Source organism: Homo sapiens, chromosome 17 (assembly GCF_000001405.40).
Source record: "Homo sapiens chromosome 17, GRCh38.p14 Primary Assembly".
Classification (NCBI taxonomy): Eukaryota; Metazoa; Chordata; class Mammalia; order Primates; family Hominidae; genus Homo; species Homo sapiens.
The window spans coordinates 1,716,284-1,739,724 of NC_000017.11; the positions used below are offsets into that span (position 1 = coordinate 1,716,284).

The window sequence follows — 23,441 nt, forward strand, 5'->3', positions numbered from 1 at the left end:
CGGCCCGGGGCCAATCACCGCCCACTGCTGGGCAACGTGGCCCCGCCCACCCGGGGGCCGACGGGGCCTCGCCCTGGTCCCGCCTCTCCGGGCGCCCTGGCTCTGATTGGCAAGGAGGCCACCCTTTTGCCGGGCGGAATTGCACGAAGCCACGCCCACCCACTGAGGAGCCGGCCAATAGACGGACAGGTGTGGCCCAGCCCTCCGCGTCAGCGACCCGCTTAGAAAAGCGCTACGTCAAACGAGAGTCCTAAAGAGCAGGCGAAAGCCACGGCGTCTGCGTTTGCAATGCATGCTGGTCCGTGTAGTTCTCAGCCTGACACCGTCGTTCCCAGAACCCAGCGCGCTCTGTGAGTTGGCATTTTTAAACTGAGCTCGGAATCCAGCCCGGGGAAGTCCTTAAAGGGCGACAGCCCCTCCTTGTTGGAGTCGTGAGTGCTTCTTTTAGACATTCCCCAAACTGACTCGCCGGCCTCTGCGGGACGCTATAGCTCTTTAAGGAAAGGTGGAGCGGACCAAGGAGCAGGAGTGGGCAGAGCGTCAGCCCCCAGGGCAGCAGAGACTGCCGTTGGAGAGCTCTCCAGGGTTTTTGGAGGAGGGAGGGTGCTCGCCTCGCCCAGCCCACTCCTCCTGGGGGCTCTTCCTAACCACAGGAGGCTTTTTTTCTTGGATGTCTCTTCCCAGTCCCAGAAGAGCCCCCAGAGCCTCCCAAGAGGTAGCTTTCTAACAAAAGATTCATAGCACAGTCCTCACCTTAGGGTAGAGGGAGGGCTTCTGGTCAGAAATTAGGGGATGGGCCATGCCAAAGTGCAAAGGGTCAGCAATCGCATCCTCTGATTAACCCCCATTCAGTCCCGCCCTCCAAAGCTCTTCACTGACTCAGGCCTACTTAGGGAAGAGATTCGAAGGTGGAGACCAATGAGCAGGCTGCTCCTTCCCCAGGGGCCAATCAGAGTCTAGATGAGCGGGGGATGGGCAAAAAGTGAAATGAACCCAGTGACTTGGCAAAAGCTGCTGGTCGGCGTTTTTAAAGGGGCAAGCCGGAGACCTGCCCTACCTTATCAATCCCCGCAAGTCCCCCAAAGAGGAACATGTGGACTGAAATCCATGCCTTTTCCTTCAGCTCCAAATAGGGGCTGAGGGTAACTAAGCAGGAATGATGAGGCTGGAGGGTGAGATCCTTCCTTCTGTTAAATACGCACTCCATCAGGTAATTGATAAGGTTCACTTGGAGCTCCAAAATTCTGAGCCTGCGTTCAGGACATTGCGCCTTTAAGGAAACTTCCTGCCTTGCGCCCCAGTAACAGCTGATTGTTGGAAAGTGTGACCTCTGGGGACGAATCAGCTGTTACCACATCCTCCTCCTTGCTTACCCTCCTCCATCCCCTTATCCACTCCCATGGGTGGTGAAGGAAAGAACGTGGGGGATGTGATTGTATGATCTTTCTTTTCCCCCATCACTCCAAGACTGTCTCCCCCAACCCCAACCCCGCTCTGCTCCTTAGTTCTTCAGAGGCTCTGGGCTTGGAAAGAGAGGTATTTCCTGTTAGCACAGTAAATTCAGACTCTGTGGTCTAGACCCTCCCTGGTCTAGGGGAAGGCCAGTACTGGGGAGGTCCAGAATGGTGGCTGGCGCTGGGGAGGGTACAGTGAACCCGAGGACCAAGCCTGGGGAGGAGGAATGGCTATGGGAAGCAAACTTGGGGTTCAGAACGCTGCTTCTCAGGCCAGCCGCCCCCTACTTCCTACTCAAGTTGCCCTATTCCTCCATGGACAGGTGTCTGCTGATGGGATCCTCCTGCTTTTGCCCATTTACTCCACCTCCTTATTTATTTTTTTTTTTTCTGTTTTTGAGACAGAGTCTCGCTCTGTTGCCCAGGCTGGAGTGCAGTGGCGCGATCTCGGCTCACTGCAACCTCCACCTCCCGGGTTCAAGCGATTCTCCTCCTTCAGCCTCCTGAGTAGCTGGGATTACAGGCGTGCGCTACCACTCCCAGCTAATTTTTGTATTTTTAGTAGAGATGGTGTTTTGCCATGTGGGCCAGGCTGGTCTCGAACTCCTCACCTCAGGTGATCCACCCGCCTCGGTCTCCCAAAGTGCTAGGATTATAGGCGTGTGAGCCACCGCGCCCGGCCGCATTCACTCCACTTCTAACTGTTCTCAGCTGCCACCTGGTCCCTGGGCCGCTCCATTTTTGGCTTTTGGCGGTGCCCTGCCCACATGGCCACCCCCCATAGCAAGGGTCCTAATTGCTCAAGGACTGCAGGTGGGACACGTTGGCCCCAGAAGCCAGCGTCTTTGGCTGGGAAGTGCTGGGAAGACCCAGGTAAATATTTTGCCTCGATCCTGAGTTGGGAGTCAGGGTCACTCCAGGACAAGCTTAGTGTGAAGTCCTAGGACTGACTTGGCAAGGCGTGGAGAAATTGAGCAGGGCCCTGGCCAAGCATGGAAGGAAGTGAAGCCTCACCAGTGGCCCCTATTCTCCATTATCCTGAGCATAGAAATCCCATCCCTTTCCCACTCACGGCCCTTGGGGTGACCCTTTTCCATTTTGTTCTGAACACTGACCCCACCCCCTAGGTCAAAAGCACAGGCTTCGAGTCCAGGGTTTCGCCACCTCAGCACCCACTGGCATTTTAAGTAGAATAATTTCTTGTGGGAGGGCTACCGGGTGCACAATAGGACATCCACGTGGTCCCTGGCCTCTGTCCTAGATGTCAGTGGCAACACCCACCCACCCCCAGCTCCCAGTTTTGACAACCAAAAGTATCTCCAGACGTTACCAAATGTCTCCTAGGGGCCAAAATCTCCTCCAACTGAGAACTACTGTGTTAGGCACACTTAGATTCAAATTCCAGCTCTTACTAGCTGTGAACTTGTTACCGATAATTTCCCCTCATCTACAACATACGGTGAATAAGGAATTCAAGCCTTGTTGTAGGGATTTCAACATTTAAAAATATTTTAAAAGTTAAAAATGTGCCCGGGCGCGGTGGCTCATGCCTGTAATCCCAGCACTTTGGGAGGCTGAGGCAGGCGGATCACGAGGTCAGGAGATGGAGAACATCCTGGCTAACACTGTGAAACCCCGTCTCTAATAAACATACAAACAATTAGCCGGGCGTGGTGGCGGGCGCCTGTAGTGCCCAGCTACTTGGGAGGCTGAGGCAGGAGAGTGGCGTGAACCCAGGAGGCGGAGCTTTGCAGTGAGCCAAGATTGGGCCACTGCACTCCAGCCTGGGTGACAGAGCAAGACTCCGTCTCAAAAAAAGAAAAAAAAAAAAAAATTAAAAATGTGGCCAGGCACAGTGGCTCATACCTGTAATCCCAGCACTTTGGGAGGCCGAAGCAGGTGGATCACTTTGAGCCCAAGAGTTCAAGACCAGCCTGGGCAACGTGGCAAGACCCTCTTTAAAAAAAAAAAAAATTAAAAAATGGCCTGGCGAGGTGGCTCACACCTGTAATTGTAGCACTTTGGGAGGCTGAGGCAGGCAGATTGCTTGAGCTCAGGAGTTCGAGACCAGCCTGGGCAACATGATGAAACTCTAGCTCTACCCAAAATACAAAACATTAGCCAGGTGTGGTGGTATCTGTGGTCCCAGCTACTCAGGAGGCCGAGGCAGAGGTTGCAGTGAGCCAAGATGGCGCCACTGCACTCCAGCCTAGGTGACAGAATGTGACTCCATCTCAGAAAAAAACGAAAAACAAATTTAATTAGAAAACACCTAGCATAGATTTAATTAGAAAACACCTAGCGTAGATTTAATTAGAAAACACCTAGCGTAGATTTAATTAGAAAACACCTAGCATAGTACCTGCCACACTGGTCCGCAGCTGGTGCACTACTTTTCTCCCTGCCGGATTAGCAAGAGCTGACCCCGCTCAACATGGGCTGACTGGTGGGGCAGCTGCAGCCTCTGTCCCTGACTATCCAAGACATGACCTCCCGGAAACCCAATACTGAGGCTGGCCAAGGGGAGCGGCTAATTTGGTCTGAGATTCCCCAGAGCCCAAAGGTGCTTGCATTGGGATTCAGGGAACACGCTTACTGGGGGCAGTGAGAGGGAAATTCCGGAAGAGAGCTGTTACAGACGTTACTTCTCAAGACATAGCCTGAAGGTTGCTGCATCAGAATTACCTCGCGTACTTGTTAAACATTTAGATAGCTGTATCTCACTCCAGACTCCTGAATTAGAATTATGCCCTAAAGGGCCGGGCATGGTGGCTCACGCCTGTAATTCCAGCACTTTGGGAGGCGGAGGCGGGCGGATCATCTGAGGTCAGGAATTTGAGACCAGCCTGGCCAACATGGTGAAACCCCATCTCTACTAAAAATACAAAAGTTAGCCAGGCGCCTGTAATCCCAGGTACTCGGGAGGCTGAGGCAGGAGAATTGCTTGAACCTGGGCGGTGAAGGTTGCAGTGAGCCGAGATCGTGCCACAGCACTCCAGCCTGGGCGACAGAGTCAGACTCCGTATCAAGAAAAAAAAAAAAAAAAGAATTATGCCCTAAAATTTGAAAACTACTGCCCTAGGGCTCAGATTGGGCCAGGGTTTGAGGCCCCAGGAATCCCAGTGCGCCAGTTCCCAATATTGCTAGGACATCTCTATTCTCGGGAGGAAAGGAGAATTTCAAGAGGTAAAATTAGGTACACTCAAGGTCACTGCTGCAGTGTAACCCCAGTACCGCTAGAGGGCAGGGCACACACAGACTTGCAGACAGAAAAAGTAGTACCTGCTCAATCTAGGTAAACTGAGACCAGCGCAAAGAACAGGTGGACCCAGCCAGCTCTATTGGTACTAAGAAGCAAGCACTACCTTCTAACCATCAAAACATATCCTCTGATTTCAGGTATTTATATCAAAGTTGGGGCTGGGCACTGTGGCTCACGACTGTAATCCCAGCTCTACTAAAAATATAAAATTTAGCTAGGCGTGGTAGCAGGCACCTATAATCCCAGCTACTCGGGATGCTGAGGCAGGAGAATCACTTGAACCCGGGAGGCGGAGGTTGTGGTGAGTCAAGATGGTGCCATTGCACTCCAGCCTGGGCAACAAGAGCGAAACTTTGTCTCGAAAAAAAAAATTAGCTGGGCTTGGTGACGCTGCCTGTAGTCTCAACTACTCGGGAGGCTGAGGTGGGAGGATCACCTGAGCCTGGGGAGGTCGAGGCTGCAGTCAGCTGTGACAAATCACTGCACTGCAGCCTGGGTGACAGAGTGAGACCCTGTGTCAAAAAAAATAAATAAAAAATCACTCGGGCACCATGGCTCACACCTGTAATCCCAGCATTTTGAGAGGCCGAGATGGGCCGATTGCTTGAGCCCAGGAGTTCAAGACCAGCCTGGGAAACATGGCAAAACCTGGTTACTACAAAAATACAAAAAATTAGCTGGATGTGGTGGCACATTCCTGTAGTCCCAGCTACTCAGGAGGCTGAGGTGGGAAGTTCACCTGAGCCTGGAAGGTCGAGGCTGCAGGGAGCCAAGATCACACTACTGCATTCTAGCCTGGGCAACAGAGTGAGACTCTGTCTTAAAAAAAAAAAAAAAAATCAGGCCGGGCACGGTGGCTCACACCTGTAATCCCAGCACTTTGGAAGGCCAAGGCAGGCAGATCACCTGAGGTCGGGAGTTTGAGACCAGCCTGACCAACATGGAGAAACCCTGTCTCTACTAAAATACAAAAATTAGCCGGGCATGGTGGCACATGACTGTAATCCCAGCTACTAGGGAGGCTGAGGCAGGAGAATCGCTTGAACCCGGGAGGCGGAGATTGCGGTGAGCTGAGATCGCGCCATTGCACTCCAGCCTGGGCAACAAGAGCGAAACTCTGTCTTAAAAAAAAAAATCTTCTTAAAAGGGGTGGTGAGGATTACACAAAACAGGGTATGCAAAATGCTTAACAGATGACTAGCTCCTGGTAATGCTCCATACAAGTTTGTTGTAAGTTACTACTGCCCAGGATCATATGACCAAGCACATGAGAGGCTCCAGCTACCCTTCAAGGAAGAGGAGACAGATGAAATCAGATCATGGCTGAGACATTCCTGTTTTCTCTCTCTTTTTTTTTTTTTTTTTGAGATGGAGTCTCACTCTGTTGCCCAGGCTGGAGTGCAGTGGCGCTATCTTGGCTCACTGCAACCTCTGCCTCCTGGGTTCAAGCGATTCTCCTGCCTCAGCCTCCCAAGTAGCTGGAATTAGAGGCGTCCGCCACCACACCTGGCTAATTTTTGTATTTTAGTAGAGATGGGGTTTCTCCATGTTGGTCAGGCTGGTCTTGAACTCCTGACCTCAGGTGATCTGCCCATCTCAGCCTCCCAAAGTGCTGGGTTACAGGCATGAGCCACCGCACCCGGCCCTCCTATTTTCTCTCCTATCAGGCCTAGTTTTCTTTTCTTTTCTTTCTTTCTTTTTTTTTTTTTTTGAGACGGAGTCTCACTCTGCCACCCAGGCTGGAGTGCAGTGGTGTGATCTCAGCTCACTGCAACCTCCGCCTCCCAGGTTCAAGCGATTCTCCTGCCTCAGCCTCCTGAGTAGCTGGGATTACAGGCACCCGCTGCCACACCCGGCTAATTTTTTTGTGTTTTTAGTAGAGATGGAGTTTCCCCAAGTTGGCCGGGCTGGTCTTGAACTCCTGACCTCATGATCCGCCCACCTTGGCCTCCCAAAGTGCTGGGATTACAGGTGTGAACCACCGTGACCGGCCAAGGCCTAGTTTTCCTAAGTGTCTTTATGGGACCCTCACACCTGTACACCAAACTCCTTCAAGAGGCAAACTCTCTCCTAAGAGGGAGACAAAAGAAACAGGGCCAGTGGTTTCACTGTAGACAATGGTCTATCTGTCCTGCAGATGAGTCAGAACTAAGACCCCTTGAGGAATCATGTTGCTTTGGTGCCGGCTGTCTGGTTTCTATTCCATATCCTGTGCCGCACCCTTCCCCCAGCCACAGTGACATCTGGAGGCTCTGACCACAGCTGGCAGGCTCTGTGGTACCGCAGAGGCCAATCTTCAACAGGAAGTCTTGGGGGAACATTTCTTCCCCCAAAACACCAGGCCTCTGGGCCTGGGCCACTTCTCTCCCTCAGACAGCCCAGGGTTTCGTTTTATTTTTATTTTATTTTATTTATTTATTTTTATTTATTTATTTGGTTTTATTTTTATTTATTTATTTTTATTTATTTATTTATTTATTTATTTATTTATTTATTTATTCTTTTTGACGGAGTCTCGCTCTGTTGCCCAGGTTGGAGTACAGTGGCGCCATCTCGGCTCACTGCAAGCTCTGCCTCCTGGGTTCATGCCATTCTCCTGCCTCAGCTTCCCAAGTAGCTGGGACTACAGGCGCCCCCCACCACGGCCAGGTAATTTTTTGTGTTTTTAGTAGAGACGGGGTTTCACCGTGTTAGCCAGGATGGTCTCGATCTCCTGACCTCGTGATCCAGCTGCCTCAGCCTCCCAAAGTGCTGGGATTACAGGCGTGAGCCACTGCACCCGGCCAGTTTTGTTTTTTAAAAAGCCGTGAGAGGGCTGTCAGGAGGCAGTGCTCCTGGGCAGAAAGAAGGCTGGCACCAGTTTCTAAGTCTCCATTCCGCCAGGCGGACAAGCCTCTCTGGCGGTTGTTGGTTATCACTTGTAAAATATAAACAGTAATAACTGTCCTCCCTACCTCACAGAGTGTGTTGCGAGGGCCAAATGGAATGTGACTGTTGAAGTACTTAGGAAAGTTAAAAAGCTCCTTCCTATGGAAGGTGGCATGGAGGCGCCGGGGGGATTCCATGTCAAAAGTCCCAGTTCTGGCCGGGCGCGGTGGCTCACGCCTGTCATCCCAGCACCTTGGGAGGCCGAGACGGGTGGATCACGAGGCCAGGAGTTCGAGATCAGCCTGGCCAACAAGGCGAAACCCCATCTCTACTAAAAAATACAAAAATTAGCCGGGCGTGGTGGCGCGCTCCTGACGTCCCAGCTACTCGGGAGGCCGAGGCAAGAGAATCGCTTGAACCCGGGAGGCAGAGGTTGCGGTGAGCCGAGATCGCGCCACTGCACTCCAGCCTGGGCGACAGAGCAAGACTCCGTCTCAAAAATAGACACAACAGAAGTCCCAGTTCTGCCCCTGGTTGTGCGGTCCGCACTTAACTAAGAGGCTGGCATCTCTGGGAACAGCCTCCGGGACCCGCGCGCTGGTGCGTGCTGGAGGGAGTAGGGAGGGGTGGGGCGGTAGGCATCGCCCTCCGCCGGGCCCGGCTGGAGCTGGCTGGAGACCCTTTCAGCCCCGGGAGGAAGCGGAGCCCAGACCGAGCCAGAGCGGAGCAGCGGGAGGGAGGGCGGGGAGGCCGCCGGGCAGGAAGCGGGGTCCCGCCCGGGCCTCTGGAGCCACGTGCGCTTGTTTCCGTGCTGGGGCGATCACGTGACCCGCGTCAGCTGACCCGTCACGGTGGAGCCCGGTGCTCGCGCCCGGCAGCCTCTGCCCCGCCGCGCCCGGAGCGCAGGACCCGCGGAGGGGTAAGCGCGCCCCCCGTCCGCCTCTTCGCCGCCGCCGGCTTCCTGCGGCCGCCTCCGCCCCAGCCCCTGTCCCGCGCCCATCCCAGCCCCGCCGGCCTGGCACCCCGGAAGCCGTCGCCAGCAGGGCCGTGGCTGGGCTCAGCCCCGCGCTGCCCCCGGGCGGCCTGGAGGAGATGGCCCAGGGCAGCGGGGGGCGGGAAGGCGCTCTCAGAACCCCGGCCGGGGGCTGGCATTCCCCGCCAAGCCCAGACATGCAGGAGCTGCTCCGGAGCGTGGAGAGGGACCTGAGCATCGATCCCAGGCAGCTGGCTCCGGCCCCGGGGGGCACCCACGTGGTGGCCCTAGTGCCTGCGCGCTGGCTGGCCAGCCTCCGCGATCGCCGGCTGCCCCTGGGACCCTGTCCCCGCGCAGAGGGCCTGGGAGAAGCGGAAGTCAGGACTCTCCTGCAGCGCTCTGTGCAAAGGCTGCCTGCCGGCTGGACGCGCGTGGAGGTGCATGGGCTGCGGAAGCGGAGACTGTCCTACCCTCTGGGCGGGGGCCTGCCCTTTGAGGACGGGTCCTGCGGCCCTGAGACCCTCACTCGCTTCATGCAGGAGGTTGCCGCCCAGAATTATCGCAACCTGTGGCGCCATGCATACCACACTTACGGCCAGCCGTACAGTCACAGCCCTGCCCCCTCAGCTGTCCCTGCCTTGGACTCAGTACGGCAGGCTCTGCAGAGGGTCTATGGTTGCTCCTTCCTGCCAGTGGGTGAAACTACCCAATGCCCTTCATATGCCAGAGAAGGCCCCTGCCCCCCTCGGGGCAGCCCTGCTTGCCCTAGTCTTTTACGGGCTGAGGCCTTGCTGGAGTCGCCGGAGATGCTGTATGTGGTACACCCTTACGTACAGTTCTCCCTACATGACGTGGTCACCTTCAGCCCTGCCAAGCTGACCAACAGCCAGGCCAAGGTGCTGTTCATTCTCTTCCGCGTGCTGAGGGCTATGGACGCCTGTCACCGCCAGGGGCTGGCGTGTGGGGCCCTGTCTTTGTATCACATCGCAGTGGATGAGAAGCTTTGCAGCGAGCTGCGACTGGACCTGAGTGCTTATGAGAGGCCCGAGGAGGACGAGAATGAGGAGGCCCCTGTGGCAAGGGATGAGGCGGGCATTGTGTCTCAAGAGGAGCAGGGAGGGCAACCTGGGCAACCCACTGGCCAGGAGGAACTTCGGAGCCTCGTGCTAGATTGGGTCCACGGCCGCATCAGCAACTTCCACTACCTCATGCAGCTGAATCGGTTGGCAGGTCGGCGGCAGGGGGACCCCAACTACCACCCCGTGCTGCCCTGGGTGGTGGACTTCACTACGCCCCATGGGCGCTTCCGAGACCTGCGCAAGTCCAAGTTCCGCCTCAACAAGGGGGATAAGCAACTGGACTTCACGTATGAGATGACACGGCAGGCATTCGTAGCAGGCGGGGCGGGCGGCGGGGAACCCCCTCATGTTCCCCACCACATCTCAGACGTGCTCTCCGACATCACGTACTATGTGTACAAGGCTCGGCGCACGCCTCGGTCGGTGCTCTGCGGACACGTCCGCGCGCAGTGGGAGCCCCATGAGTATCCGGCCAGCATGGAGCGGATGCAGAACTGGACCCCGGATGAGTGCATTCCGGAGTTCTACACCGATCCCTCTATCTTCCGCTCCATCCACCCCGACATGCCTGACCTGGATGTGCCAGCCTGGTGCAGCTCCAGCCAGGAGTTCGTAGCTGCCCACCGAGCCCTGCTGGAGAGCCGCGAGGTATCCCGGGACCTGCACCATTGGATCGACCTCACGTTTGGCTATAAACTCCAGGGTAAGGAGGCTGTCAAGGAAAAGAATGTGTGTCTGCACCTGGTGGACGCCCACACTCACCTGGCCAGCTACGGGGTGGTGCAGCTCTTCGATCAGCCACACCCCCAGCGCCTGGCTGGGGCTCCTGCCCTTGCCCCCGAGCCTCCCCTCATCCCCAAGCTGTTGGTCCAGACCATCCAGGAGACCACAGGCCGGGAGGACTTCACGGAAAACCCGGGACAGCTTCCAAATGGAGTGGGCCGGCCAGTTTTAGAGGCCACTCCCTGTGAGGCTAGCTGGACCAGAGACAGGCCGGTGGCAGGAGAAGACGACTTGGAACAGGCCACAGAAGCTCTGGATTCCATTTCCCTTGCTGGGAAAGCAGGTGACCAGCTGGGCTCCTCCAGTCAAGCGTCCCCTGGACTTCTCTCTTTCTCAGTGGCCTCAGCCTCCCGTCCAGGCCGCAGGAATAAAGCTGCTGGGGCAGACCCTGGGGAGGGTGAGGAGGGGAGGATTCTTCTTCCCGAGGGCTTCAATCCCATGCAGGCCCTGGAGGAGCTGGAGAAAACGGGCAACTTCTTGGCCAAAGGCCTAGGGGGCCTGTTGGAGGTGCCTGAGCAGCCCCGGGTCCAGCCGGCTGTGCCACTGCAGTGCCTACTCCACAGGGACATGCAGGCGCTGGGTGTCCTATTGGCAGAGATGGTGTTTGCCACCAGGGTGCGGACGCTGCAGCCCGATGCACCTTTGTGGGTACGCTTCCAGGCTGTCCGAGGGCTCTGCACGCGCCACCCCAAGGAGGTCCCTGTGTCTTTGCAGCCCGTGCTGGACACACTCCTGCAGATGAGTGGCCCCGAAGTCCCCATGGGAGCAGAGAGGGGCAAGCTGGACCAACTGTTTGAGTACAGGCCTGTCTCCCAGGGCCTGCCCCCACCCTGCCCAAGCCAGCTTCTCAGCCCCTTCAGCTCCGTGGTTCCCTTCCCACCCTACTTCCCGGCACTGCACAGATTCATCCTCCTGTACCAGGCAAGGCGTGTGGAGGACGAGGCCCAGGGGCGCGAGCTGGTGTTTGCTCTGTGGCAGCAGCTGGGCGCGGTGCTGAAGGACATCACCCCTGAGGGCCTGGAGATCCTGCTGCCCTTCGTGCTCTCACTCATGTCCGAGGAGCACACAGCTGTGTACACGGCCTGGTATCTGTTTGAGCCTGTTGCCAAGGCACTGGGCCCCAAAAATGCCAATAAGTACCTCCTGAAGCCGCTCATTGGTGCCTACGAGAGCCCCTGCCAGCTACACGGCCGCTTCTACCTGTACACGGACTGCTTTGTGGCCCAGCTGATGGTGCGGCTGGGCCTGCAGGCATTTCTCACTCACCTGCTGCCCCATGTCCTGCAGGTGCTGGCGGGCGCAGAGGCCTCCCAGGAGGAGAGCAAGGACCTGGCAGGGGCTGCTGAGGAGGAGGAGAGCGGGCTGCCCGGGGCCGGGCCTGGCTCCTGTGCTTTTGGGGAGGAGATTCCCATGGATGGGGAGCCTCCTGCCTCCTCGGGCCTGGGGCTCCCAGACTACACGTCTGGCGTCAGCTTCCACGACCAGGCTGACCTCCCTGAGACAGAGGACTTCCAAGCCGGGCTCTATGTGACTGAGTCTCCCCAGCCCCAGGAGGCTGAGGCTGTGAGCCTGGGCCGGCTGAGTGACAAGAGCAGCACCAGCGAGACCTCCCTGGGTGAGGAGCGGGCTCCAGACGAGGGGGGTGCCCCCGTGGACAAGAGCAGCCTTCGATCAGGTGACAGCAGCCAGGACTTGAAGCAAAGCGAGGGCTCCGAGGAGGAAGAGGAGGAGGAGGACAGCTGCGTGGTGCTAGAGGAGGAGGAGGGGGAGCAGGAGGAGGTCACCGGGGCATCTGAGCTCACTCTGTCTGACACGGTGCTGTCCATGGAGACGGTTGTGGCCGGCGGCAGTGGGGGAGATGGAGAAGAAGAGGAGGAGGCACTGCCTGAGCAGTCAGAAGGCAAAGAACAGAAGATCCTCCTTGGTAAGTTCCCAGGTCTGGGAGGTGTTGGTCAAAAACACCTCCTGCTGGCCGAGCACAGTGGTTCACGCCTGTATTCCCAGCACTTTGGGAGGCTGAGGCGGGCGGATCACAAGGTCAGGAGATCGAGACCATCCTAATAACAAGGTGAAACCCCGTCTCTACTAAAAATACAAAAAAATAGCCGGGCGTGGGGGCAGGCACCTGTAGTCCCAGCTACTCGGAAGGCTGAGGCAGGAGAATGGCGTGAACCCGGGAGGCGGAGCTTGCAGTGAGCCGAGATCGCACCACTGCACTCCAGCCTGGGCGACAGAGCGAGACTCCATCTCAAAAAAACAAAACAAAACAAAAAAACAGCTCCTGCTTCTCCCTGCACACTGGCAGAGCACCTACTCTGTGCCAAGCAGTGGATCGAGCCAGGACCACCGGCAACACAAATGTAGGCCTGCCTTCACAGAGCTCACACCCAGCAGACGAGATGCCGCAGTGCAGACAGTCTTAAGCAAGTGTATTATGTTAGTGCGATAAAGAACATGGCTGCATTCCTAGGAGGGAGTGCAACATGGAGCTTTTCGGCCGGGCGCCGTGGCTCACGCCTCTAATCCCAGCACTTTGGGAGGCCGAGGCAGGAGGATCACTTGAGGTTAGGAGTTCGAGACCAGCCTGGCCAACATGGTGAAACCCCATCTCTACTAAAAATACAAAAATTAGCCAGGCGTGGTGGCGGGCACCTGTAATCCCAGCTATTCAGGAGGCTGAGGCAGGAGAATTACTTGAACCCAGGAGGTGGAGGTTGCAGTGAGCTGAGATCACACCACTGCACTGCAGCTTGGGCAACAGAGCGGGACTCCGTCTCAAAAAAGAAAAAAAAAATGGTGCTTTTACATCTAGTTTTCAAGGGTCAGAGCAGGCTTCCTTAAAAGGAGAGACAGTTGAGGTTCAAGGAGGAGTAGGAAGAAGGTAGACAAAAATGGGCAAAAAGAAAGTCTGAAGGCTGAGGGAACAGCATGTGTGAGGCTCTGAGGCTGTCATGTTCCATTAAAGAAGAGAAGCGGGGGACCGGGCGCGGTGCTTCACGCCTGTAATCCCAGCACTTTGGGAGGCTGAGGCGGATGGATCACAAGGTCAGGAGATTGAGACCATCCTGGCCAATATGGTGAAACCCCATCTCTACTAAAAATACAAAAACTTAGCTGGGCATGGTGGAGGGTGCCTGTAATCTCAGCTATTTGGAAGGCTGAGGCAGGAGAATCGCTTGAACCCGGAGGTTCAAGGAGGAGAGTCAGGGCGGTGGAAGGTGGAGGTTGCAATGAACTGAGATTGTGCCATTGCACTCCAGCCTGGGCAACAGTGCGAGACTCTGTCTCAAAAAAAAAAAAAAAGAAGAAGAAGAAGAAGAGAAGCAGGGAAAGGCCGTTATGGCGAGACCGAGGGAGTGGAGGGAAGAGAGGCCAGAGGGAAGGTGGCCAGGGCCGGGCCAGGCCTTGTTAAGGAGTTTCAGAAGACCCACGGGCAGGCTAACTTCCTGCGGGTCGTGCCTGTGGAGAGGAACCTGCGGCAGCCAGAGTCCCACAGGCCAGGGCCTGGGCACCTCTGCCGCTGTTACGTGGAGGGGGTGGTGTGGGACAGCCGGCCCGGGCTGGGCTCTTGGCAGAGCTGCAGCCGCAGGTGGTTGAGTGGGGTGCCGTGGGGTGGGGTGGGAGGGGTGATGAGCCCCTGTTATCTGAGGAGCTCAGGGCCTGCTCCCACCCCGCAGATACAGCCTGCAAGATGGTCCGCTGGCTGTCTGCCAAGCTCGGCCCCACAGTGGCCTCTCGCCACGTGGCCCGGAACCTGCTCCGCCTGCTGACGTCTTGTTATGTTGGTAAGGAGGCCTGCGGTCAGTGCTGGAGATGAGGCTTTCTCCCAGGCCCTCTGCCTAGCTTCAGCGCTCTCCGGCGGGGATCCTTCCCACCCCTCCCTCAAACCACCCCCCGGCCAGGTGCTGGGTCCCAGTCTAAGTGCCAGCCTTGGGTAGGGCCAGGCTGGGCCCCCAGCTAGAGTGAGCTCAAGCGGCCAGCACAGCCCTGCAGGGCCAGGCTACCCCCGGCCCTCCACTGGCGACTCAGGGCTGCTGGCCCTTCCGTGGCAGGACCCACTCGGCAGCAGTTCACAGTGAGCAGTGGCGAGAGCCCACCGCTGAGCGCCGGCAACATCTACCAGAAGAGGCCGGTCCTGGGCGACATCGTGTCAGGGCCTGTGCTCAGCTGCCTCCTCCACATCGCCCGCCTGTATGGGGAGCCTGTCCTCACCTACCAGTACCTGCCCTACATCAGCTACCTGGTCAGTCGCTGGTTTGGCAGGCCCGGGGCTGGGAAGGCTGAGGACCTGAGGGCCGGCCCGGGCTCTCTTGGTGCCAGGGGGTCTGTGGGGCTGCCCGGCCCTCATCTGCTCGGTGGCTCTAGGTGGCCCCAGGGAGTGCCTCAGGCCCCAGCCGACTGAACAGCCGTAAGGAGGCGGGGCTGCTGGCCGCGGTGACGCTGACTCAGAAGATCATCGTGTACCTCTCAGACACCACACTCATGGACATCCTGCCCCGGATCAGCCATGAGGTCCTGCTGCCCGTGCTCAGCTTCCTCACCTCCCTCGTCACGGGGTAGGCCTCTGCCCCAGCTGATGTAGGGGGACCGGCCCAGCGGAGGGGCTGCCCAGGAGGGGGTGGGAAGCTCAGGGGAGAGGACGTAACACTGGACTGGGTGTCAAGAGTCCTGGTTTTGATCCCGGCTGTGTGACCCTGAGCAAACCACACCCTTTTCCTGTGCCTCAGTTTCCTCATCTGGTTTGGACCAGTTGGTCTTGGAGCTCTTTCATTTAAAGCTTTTGATATGTCCGGGCACGGTGGCTCATGCCTGTAATCCCAGCACTTTGAGAGGCTGAGGCGGGAAGATTGCTTGAGCCCAGGAGTTCAAGACCAGCCTGGGCAACAAAATGAGACCCCCTCTCTAAAAATATATATAAAGGCCGAGCGTGGTGTCTCACCCCTGTAATCCCAGCACTTTGGGGGGCCAAGGCGGGTGGATCACGAGGTCAGGAGTTTGAGACCCACCTGGCCAACATGGTGAAACCCCGTCTCCACTAAAAATACAAAATCTTCGCTGGGCATGGCAGCAGGTGCCTGCAATCCCAGGTTCTCGGGAGGCTGCAATCCCAGGTTCTCAGGAGGCTGAGGCGGGAGAATTGCTTGAACCCAGGAAGCGGAGGTTGCAGTGAGCTGAGATCACGCCATTGTACTGCAGCCTAGGCGACAGAGCAAGACTCTGTCTCAAAAAAAAAAAAAAGTATATATATATGCTGGGTGCTGTGGCTCATGCCTGTAATCCCAGCACTTTGGGAGGCCAAGGTGGGTGGATCGCTTGAGGTCAGGAGTTCGAGACCAGCCTGGCCAATATGGCAAAACCCTGTCTCTACTAAAAATACAAAAAAAATTAGCCGGGTATGGTGGCTCATGCCTGTAGTCCCAGCTACTCGGGAGACTGAGGCAGGAGAATCGCTTGAACCCGGGAGGCAGAGGTTGCAGTGAGCCGAGATCGCACCACTGCACTCCAGCCTGGATGACAGAGCAAGACTCCATCTCAATAAAAATAAAAATAAATAAAGATTTTGCTAGATTCTGGTCAAGTCCTGCAGAACGGCGGGCTGGAGCTCATGAGCTCTGTTTCCAGGTTCCCAAGTGGGGCCCAGGCTCGGACCATCCTGTGTGTGAAAACCATCAGCCTCATCGCCCTCATCTGCCTGCGCATTGGACAGGAGATGGTCCAGCAGCACCTGAGCGAGCCCGTGGCCACCTTTTTCCAGGTCTTCTCTCAGCTGCATGAGCTTCGGCAACAGGTGGGCAGATCTGCTGGGCCAGGGCGGGCTGGGGCGGGGGCTGTGGACCTGGGTGACCCCCTGGGCATCTTGCTCATAGGATCTGAAGCTGGACTCCGCGGGCCGTGGCGAGGACCAGGGTGGGCCAGGGTGGGAGCTGTGGACCCGGCTGACCCCCTGGGTGTCTTGCTCATAGGATCTGAAGCTGGACCCTGCGGGCCGTGGTGAGGGCCAGCTGCCACAGGTGGTCTTCTCTGATGGGCAGCAGCGGCCCGTGGACCCCGCCCTGCTGGACGAGCTGCAGAAGGTGTTCACCCTGGAGATGGCATACACAATCTACGTGCCCTTCTCCTGCCTGTTGGGTACTGCCCCATCACGTTCCCCATCACAGTCTTCGTGGCTGTCTCCTCCCTTGGGAGGCCCCATTCTCTGCCCTTGCCCCAGAGTCAGCAGTGGGTTCTAAGAGCCAGCAGGATGGGTGAGAGCAAAGGGATTTGGCCTCAGACCCCTACCCCCAAGGTGACACACAAACAAGGACTGAGCAGTAGCCAGCAAGAGAGGCCCAGAAGCTGGCCTGTAGTGTCCCTGGGGAAGGCAGGAGAGTCAGGGAGGTGGACTGGCGGTCCGCAGGAGCTGGCGAGAGGGAAGGAGTGGCCTCCTGTTTACGAAGCTTCCCCTCTGGGCCCTGCACGGTGCTGTGCTGATCGTTTCAGCGTGTCATCTCCCTGGAGAGGACAGACAGCCTTGTGGTTACACCTGTTATCATCCTGCCACTGAAATCTAAGCTTGGGAGGCCAGGGCACCACCTGTCTTGTTCCATATTCTATTCCTAGTGCCCAGCACGGCACGGCACATATAGAAGATGCTCATGTGTACATCACAACGGAATGAATCCACATTTCACTGAGGAGGAAACTGAGGCTCAGAGACAGAGTTACTTGCCCAGAGTTGCAGAGCCAGTTCCTGCCCCATCTTCTGTGGCTCCCGAGTCCTTGGATGGGTGATAGCAGCCGCCTGCCATCTTCCCTGTCTCAGGACCTCTCCCACTCCTATCCAGGTGACATCATCCGGAAAATCATCCCCAACCACGAGCTGGTTGGGGAGCTGGCGGCGCTGTACTTGGAGAGCATCAGCCCCAGCAGTCGCAACCCTGCCAGCGTGGAGCCCACCATGCCCGGCACCGGGCCCGAGTGGGACCCCCATGGTGGGGGCTGCCCTCAGGATGACGGCCACTCAGGGACCTTTGGGAGCGTCCTGGTGGGGAACCGCATTCAGATCCCCAATGACTCTCGGCCTGAGAACCCCGGACCACTGGGCCCCATCTCGGGGGTGGGTGGCGGGGGCCTGGGCAGCGGGAGCGACGACAACGCCCTGAAGCAGGAGCTGCCGCGGAGCGTGCACGGGCTGAGCGGAAACTGGCTGGCGTACTGGCAGTACGAGATCGGCGTGAGCCAGCAGGATGCCCACTTTCACTTCCACCAGATCCGCCTGCAGAGCTTCCCGGGCCACTCGGGGGCCGTCAAGTGCGTGGCACCCCTAAGCAGCGAGGACTTCTTCCTGAGCGGCAGCAAGGATCGTACCGTGCGCCTCTGGCCGCTGTACAACTACGGCGACGGGACCAGCGAGACGGCCCCACGCCTCGTCTACACCCAGCACCGCAAGAGCGTCTTCTTCGTGGGCCAGCTTGAGGCCCCGCAGCACGTGGTGAGCTGTGACGGGGCTGTGCACGTCTGGGACCCCTTCACAGGTGAGCGGGCCCAGGTGAGGCCTGTTCTCTTCCTGCTCCTGCGCCCCACCAGGCCTCCAGGAAGGGGGCCCGAGGGTGGGGCTGTAATGCTGCGGAGTTTGGGGAGACCCAGCGAGGCCGCCTAGGAGAACAGTTAGGGCTTCGAATCTGTTAGACTTGAGTCTGAATTGGCTCCACCGGCTTACTTGCTGAGTGACCTTGAGCAAGTTCCTGCTGCTGGAAGCGTCTCCTTTCCCATCTATAAACTGAGAATCAGAAAAACTGGCGTAGAAGATAACACACAGCCGGGCGCAGTGGCTCACGCCTGTAATCCCAGCACTTTGGGAGGCTGAGGCGGGTGGATCACGAGGTCAGGAGATCGAGATCATCCTGGCTAACATGGTGAAACCCCGTCTCTACTAAAAATACAAAAATTAGCCGGGCGTGGTGGCGGGTGCCTGTACTCCCAACTACACAGGAGGCTGAGGCAGGAGAATCTCTCAAACTCAGGTGGCAGAGGTTGCCGTGAGCCGAGATCGCACCACTGCACTCCAGCCCGGGCAACAGAGCGAGACTCTGTCTCAAAAAAAAAAAAAAGAAGAAGATAACACATGTAGGGTTTTGGCTTCATGTGTAGCAGATATTTGGTCAATGGTTGCTTATTTTTTGGCGTCACCATAGGGAGAAATATGGTTAAAAGGGGGAAAGGGATGGTGTCGGGGAAGACAGAGGGAGGTGGCATTGGGTCAGCAGCACTGTGCAGAGAGAGGAGGTTGCTTTGGGGATGGGAGCCTGGCCGGGCCATGGAAGCAGGAAGGTGGGAGAGTCAAGAAACATCTTTAGGCCGATGCAGTGGCTCACGCCTGTAATCTCAGCACTCTGGGAGGCCAGGAGTTGGAGACCAGACTGGCTGACATGGTGAAACCCCATCTCTACTAAGAATACAAAAAAAGGCCGGACGCGGTGGCTCACGCCTGTAATCCCAGCACTTTGGGAGGCCAAAGTGGGTGGATCATGAGGTCAGGAGATCGAGACCATCCAGGCTAACATGGTAAAACCCCGTCTCTACCAAAAATACAAAAAATTAGCCAGGCGTGGTGGCGGACGCCTGTAGTCCCAGCTATTCGGGAGGCTGAGGCAAGAGAATTGCTTGAACCTGGGAGGTGGAGGTTGCAGTGAGCCGAGATTGCACCACTGCACTCCAGCCTGGGCGACAAAGCGAGACTCCATCTCAAAAAAAGAGAAACATCTTTAGCATTTTCTAAGGATCCCTGGGGGACGGGAGGCAGGTGTGCGGTGAGTTGGGGGATTAGAAGCTCCCAGGGCTCTTCCGTCAGCTGCTGGGACCCCAGATCCACTGTGACTTTCCTTCCCAGGGAAGACCCTTCGCACAGTGGAGCCGCTGGACAGCCGGGTGCCCCTGACTGCGGTGGCTGTCATGCCCGCCCCCCACACCAGCATCACCATGGCCAGCTCTGACTCTACCCTGCGCTTTGTGGACTGCAGGAAGCCTGGTCTGCAGGTCAGGGGGGTCCAGTTCCCTGAGCACTCGCCTGGTTCTCTGGGGACCTGGCAAGGAGGAGAGACTCCCCAAAAACAGAAAGCCAGGATGTTGTTCTGGGGCCCTAGTTAGTTTCTCTTTGGTGCTAGATCACCCACAGCCACACATCCTGCGGGGCAGGACTCTGGCCTGTGATGGGGGTGGGGTTCTGGGCTTTTCATGCCCCCTGATGAGGGTCAGAGGCTCAGGCCTTCCTGCTGTGTGGGCTTGGGTGGTGGGCAGGGCCTTGGGGAGTGTGAGATGGGAAGGTGGTGCCTCAGCTCAGCCGCCCTCTCCCTGCAGCACGAGTTCCGACTGGGCGGTGGGCTGAACCCTGGGCTTGTCCGTGCCCTGGCCATCAGCCCCAGTGGCCGTAGTGTCGTGGCCGGCTTCTCCTCAGGCTTCATGGTGCTCCTGGACACCCGCACAGGCCTGGTTCTGCGAGGCTGGCCAGCCCACGAGGGGGACATTCTGCAGATCAAGGTGACGGGCCGGGTCTCCCTCCCCTTGCTGCCCAACCCCCGCCCCTGTCCAGCCATCACCCCTGCTTAGGGTCTGCCTGCCCGGGTTCAGGCTCGAACTGGTCTGTCTTATATACCTGGTCCAGGACTAACTGGGCAGGGAGGGTAGCCCTCTCGGTCCACCTTGGGAGCCAGTTGCACTGCAGGGGTCTCAGCAGGAGGCAGGCCATGGGGGCGGGAGCCACGGGGCAGTGGGGCGGGAGCTATGGGGCAGGGCTGACCCTGTTGCTCATGGCGATGTTCTAATGAGTAACCCTTGTCCATATTTGTCTTGCTTGGAGGATCAGGGGTCAGGCCCTGTCCGTGACCTAGTTCAGGTTAAATAAAGCTGAGCTGGGAGGCTGTTTACTGCCTGTAGACCGCTGAGCAGAGTCCATGGCCCTGCCGGGCTGCCCTGGCTGGGGGCAGGAGCACGCCTGGGCATGGGGATCCTGTCCCCGTCTCCTTCCCCTCCCCCTCCCTCCATTCTCAGTCACAGGCCTCGGGGAGCTGCTCAGGGAGGCCCAGGAGGGGAGGAACAGGGCTTCGTGTGGGAGGATTTCTGCAGGCAGCTGGGACTTTCCTCCCCAGCTTGGCTGGAGGCCAGGAGTCTTGCATTGCCCTGCTGACAGCAGGCTGTCGCTGGCTCCCTCCAGAGCCCCAGGGAACCCTCAGCTCAAGGTGCCCCCAAATTCTAACTTTCCAAGAAAGTGTCAGGAGGGCTCTGGGGTCAGCCTGGGTGTTAATCCCAGCTCTGCTGCTTGCTGGCCCCATGACCTTGGTATGGTTACTTCACTTCTCTGAGCCTCACTTTTCCTGTTTGTGAAATGGGGACAATGGCAGCATCCACCGCATAGGGTTGTTACGAAGGTCAAGGTCGTCACGTGCACGCCTGGCACCATGCCTGTGCGTAGTTCTCAAGTTAGAGTGACGACTGGGTTACGGATGCTGAGCGTATTAAAATGAACCAACGTGAATATGGTGTGTGTGGGAGGGTGGCGGCTTGTCACCCACCCAGGACGGCCTGTCTCCCTGGAGAGAAACTGCGGAGGGAACTGGGAAGGCCTTGGGGCCCAAGGGTATGCAGAAGGACCCAGGCTCCTGCTGAGGCTCTCCTCTCCCGGGACAGGCGGTGGAGGGCAGCGTCCTGGTCAGCTCCTCCTCTGACCATTCCTTGACCGTCTGGAAGGAGCTGGAGCAGAAGCCCACCCATCACTACAAGTCAGCATCCGACCCCATCCACACCTTTGACCTGTACGGCAGCGAGGTGGTCACTGGCACCGTGTCCAACAAGATTGGCGTCTGCTCCCTGCTTGAGCCACCCTCGCAGGCCACCACGAAGCTCAGCTCTGAGAACTTCCGCGGCACGCTCACCAGCCTGGCCTTGCTGCCCACTAAACGCCACCTCCTGCTGGGCTCAGACAACGGGGTTATCCGCCTCCTGGCATAGACTGAGGCAGGAGCTGGCCGGGCAAGGGTGGGAAGACATCTGCGGGCGCGTGTCCACTCACCCTGTTCCCTGAGCAGCAGCTCCCTCCAGGGAGGCCCTGGGTCCCACGCCCTGGGTGCCCACATGGCCTGCCAACTAGGGCCTGCAAATGGAGTGGGGGAGTCCTGGCCCCTGAATCACCAGAGCCACCAAGCCTGCCAGAGGGGTCTCATTCATGGCTTGGGGACACAGGGCTCCTAGCAAGCAGGAAGTTAAGAGCAGGAGGAAGCGTTGCTACCTTCACTTCTCCCCAGCTCTGCCCTCTGGGTCCACATGAGGACAGGGAAGCTCGGGAAGGGGAAGGGAGACTGGCCCTGCCCAGCCGGTCTCTAGCCCCTCAGCCCCCGCTGGGCACTCTCTGTCCCATCCCTCTAGGACAGGGAAGCTGGCCTGGTCCAGGGCACTGATGGTGCTTGGATTCCAGCCTAAGGAAGGCTGGCCGTGGTCCAGGAGTTAAGGGCTTGGGTCTGGGGTTTAAGTGGCCACCCATCCAGGCCCTGGCCAGTGTGGGACCGGGACGGGAAGGAAGAAGGAGGCTAGGAGCAGGGGGAAAAGGTGCACTTGGCCAGTGGCGCCTGCCAGGAGTGAGTCCATGCGTTGTCTGCCCACCCCTACCACAGTGTTTGTGCCTTCAGCTGAGGGGGCAGCCTCTGGGCCCTGAACCCCTGCTGGGGCTCCACGACCCTGAGAGAAGGGGTGAGAAGAATCATCTCTGCACCTCGGGTCTCTGCCAGAGGAAGACTTAAGCATCCCTGCGACCTCACATTCTAGACAGAGATGAGGTCCAGGGGTTGGCCCCTGCTGCCTTCTCACAATTTGCAATAGATGTAAATAGGACCAATAAATCCTTTGGAAGAGCCATGGGGTGAACTGAGGCTTGTCTTTTTTTTTTTTTTCAATAGAGATGGAGTCTGACTATGTTGCCCAAGCTGGTCTCCAACTCCTGGGCTCAAGCGATCCTCCTGCCTCGGCCTCCCAAAGTGTTGGGATTACAGGCATGAGCCACCACGCCCAGCCTGAGGCTTATCTTGCTGGTGGTGTCAGGGTGGGGAAAGTCGAGACCCAGCAGTTTCCAGGACAGTGAGGGTGGGAAGGGGCCTGATGGAGGGAGTGAGGAGCAGGACAGTGAGGGTAGGAGGCGGCCTGATGCAGGGAGTGAGGCGCAGGACAGTGAGGGTGGGAAGGAGCCTGATGCAGGGAGTGAGGCGCAGGACAGTGAGGGTGGGAAGGAGCCTGATGCAGGGAGTGAGGCGCAGGACAGTGAGGGTGGGAAGGAGCCTGATGCAGGGAGTGAGGCGCAGGACAGTGAGGGTGGGAAGGAGCCTGATGCAGGGAGTGAGGCGCAGGACAGTGAGGGTGGGAAGGAGCCTGATGCAGGGAGTGAGGCGCAGGACAGTGAGGGTGGGAAGGAGCCTGATGCAGGGAGTGAGGCGCAGGACAGTGAGGGTGGGAAGGAGCCTGATGCAGGGAGTGAGGAGCCGGACAGTGAGGGTGGGAGGCGGCCTGATGCAGGGAGTGAGGCGCAGGACAGTGAGGGTGGGAAGGAGCCTGATGCAGGGAGTGAGGCGCAGGACAGTGAGGGTGGGAAGGAGCCTGATGCAGGGAGTGAGGAGCAGGACAGTGAGGGTGGGAAGGAGCCTGATGCAGGGAGTGAGGAGCCGGACAGTGAGGGTGGGAAGGAGCCTGATGCAGGGAGTGAGGAGCAGGACAGTGAGGGTGGGAAGTGGCCTGATGCAGGGAGTGAGGAGCAGGTGTGAGGGCGGGAAGCGGCCTGATGCAGGGAGTGAGGCGCAGGACAGTGAGGGTGGGAAGGAGCCTGATGCAGGGAGTGAGGCGCAGGACAGTGAGGGTGGGAAGGAGCCTGATGCAGGGAGTGAGGCGCAGGACAGTGAGGGTGGGAAGGAGCCTGATGCAGGGAGTGAGGAGCAGGACAGTGAGGGTGGGAAGTGGCCTGATGCAGGGAGTGAGGCGCAGGACAGTGAGGGTGGGAGGCGGCCTGA

At 58.0% G+C, this 23,441-nt stretch overlaps 1 protein-coding gene across 8 annotated transcripts, besides 5 other annotated features; it reads left to right on the forward strand.

The window, feature by feature from the left end:
• Positions 74-715: an enhancer, noted in NCBI's record as "NANOG-H3K27ac-H3K4me1 hESC enhancer chr17:1619651-1620292 (GRCh37/hg19 assembly coordinates)". NCBI's record gives its function as "activates a minimal SCP1, AML or CMV promoter by ChIP-STARR-seq in primed H9 embryonic stem cells {active_cell/tissue: H9 hESC(primed)}" and the evidence as "EXISTENCE:reporter gene assay evidence [ECO:0000049][PMID:30033119]".
• On the forward strand, positions 240-22,302 carry WDR81 (WD repeat domain 81). Of its 8 annotated transcripts, none has more exons than NM_152348.4 (11): positions 240-350; positions 11,707-12,343; positions 14,097-14,204; positions 14,472-14,662; positions 14,785-14,975; positions 16,042-16,207; positions 16,383-16,548; positions 17,244-17,933; positions 19,289-19,434; positions 19,756-19,935; positions 21,082-22,302. In NM_152348.4, exons 2-11 carry the CDS (start codon positions 11,830-11,832, stop codon positions 21,400-21,402), a joined length of 2,673 nt encoding a protein of 890 aa, NP_689561.2. In that variant the 5' UTR covers positions 240-350; positions 11,707-11,829; the 3' UTR covers positions 21,403-22,302. The 8 variants fall into 8 exon arrangements, with proteins under 8 accessions (NP_689561.2, NP_001157145.1, XP_011521953.1 ...); XM_011523651.3 differs by lacking the exon at positions 240-350 and adding an exon at positions 8,421-8,503; NM_001163673.2 differs by lacking the exon at positions 11,707-12,343.
• Positions 7,984-8,484: an enhancer, noted in NCBI's record as "H3K4me1 hESC enhancer chr17:1627561-1628061 (GRCh37/hg19 assembly coordinates)". NCBI's record gives its function as "activates a minimal SCP1, AML or CMV promoter by ChIP-STARR-seq in primed H9 embryonic stem cells {active_cell/tissue: H9 hESC(primed)}" and the evidence as "EXISTENCE:reporter gene assay evidence [ECO:0000049][PMID:30033119]".
• Positions 19,078-19,595: an enhancer, noted in NCBI's record as "H3K27ac-H3K4me1 hESC enhancer chr17:1638655-1639172 (GRCh37/hg19 assembly coordinates)". NCBI's record gives its function as "activates a minimal SCP1, AML or CMV promoter by ChIP-STARR-seq in primed H9 embryonic stem cells {active_cell/tissue: H9 hESC(primed)}" and the evidence as "EXISTENCE:reporter gene assay evidence [ECO:0000049][PMID:30033119]".
• Positions 19,596-20,111: an enhancer, noted in NCBI's record as "H3K27ac-H3K4me1 hESC enhancer chr17:1639173-1639688 (GRCh37/hg19 assembly coordinates)". NCBI's record gives its function as "activates a minimal SCP1, AML or CMV promoter by ChIP-STARR-seq in primed H9 embryonic stem cells {active_cell/tissue: H9 hESC(primed)}" and the evidence as "EXISTENCE:reporter gene assay evidence [ECO:0000049][PMID:30033119]".
• Positions 20,352-20,646: a silencer, noted in NCBI's record as "tiled region #4635; K562 Repressive DNase matched - State 5:Enh". NCBI's record gives its function as "represses a minimal TATA promoter and a strong SV40 promoter by Sharpr-MPRA in K562 cells {active_cell/tissue: K562}" and the evidence as "EXISTENCE:reporter gene assay evidence [ECO:0000049][PMID:27701403]".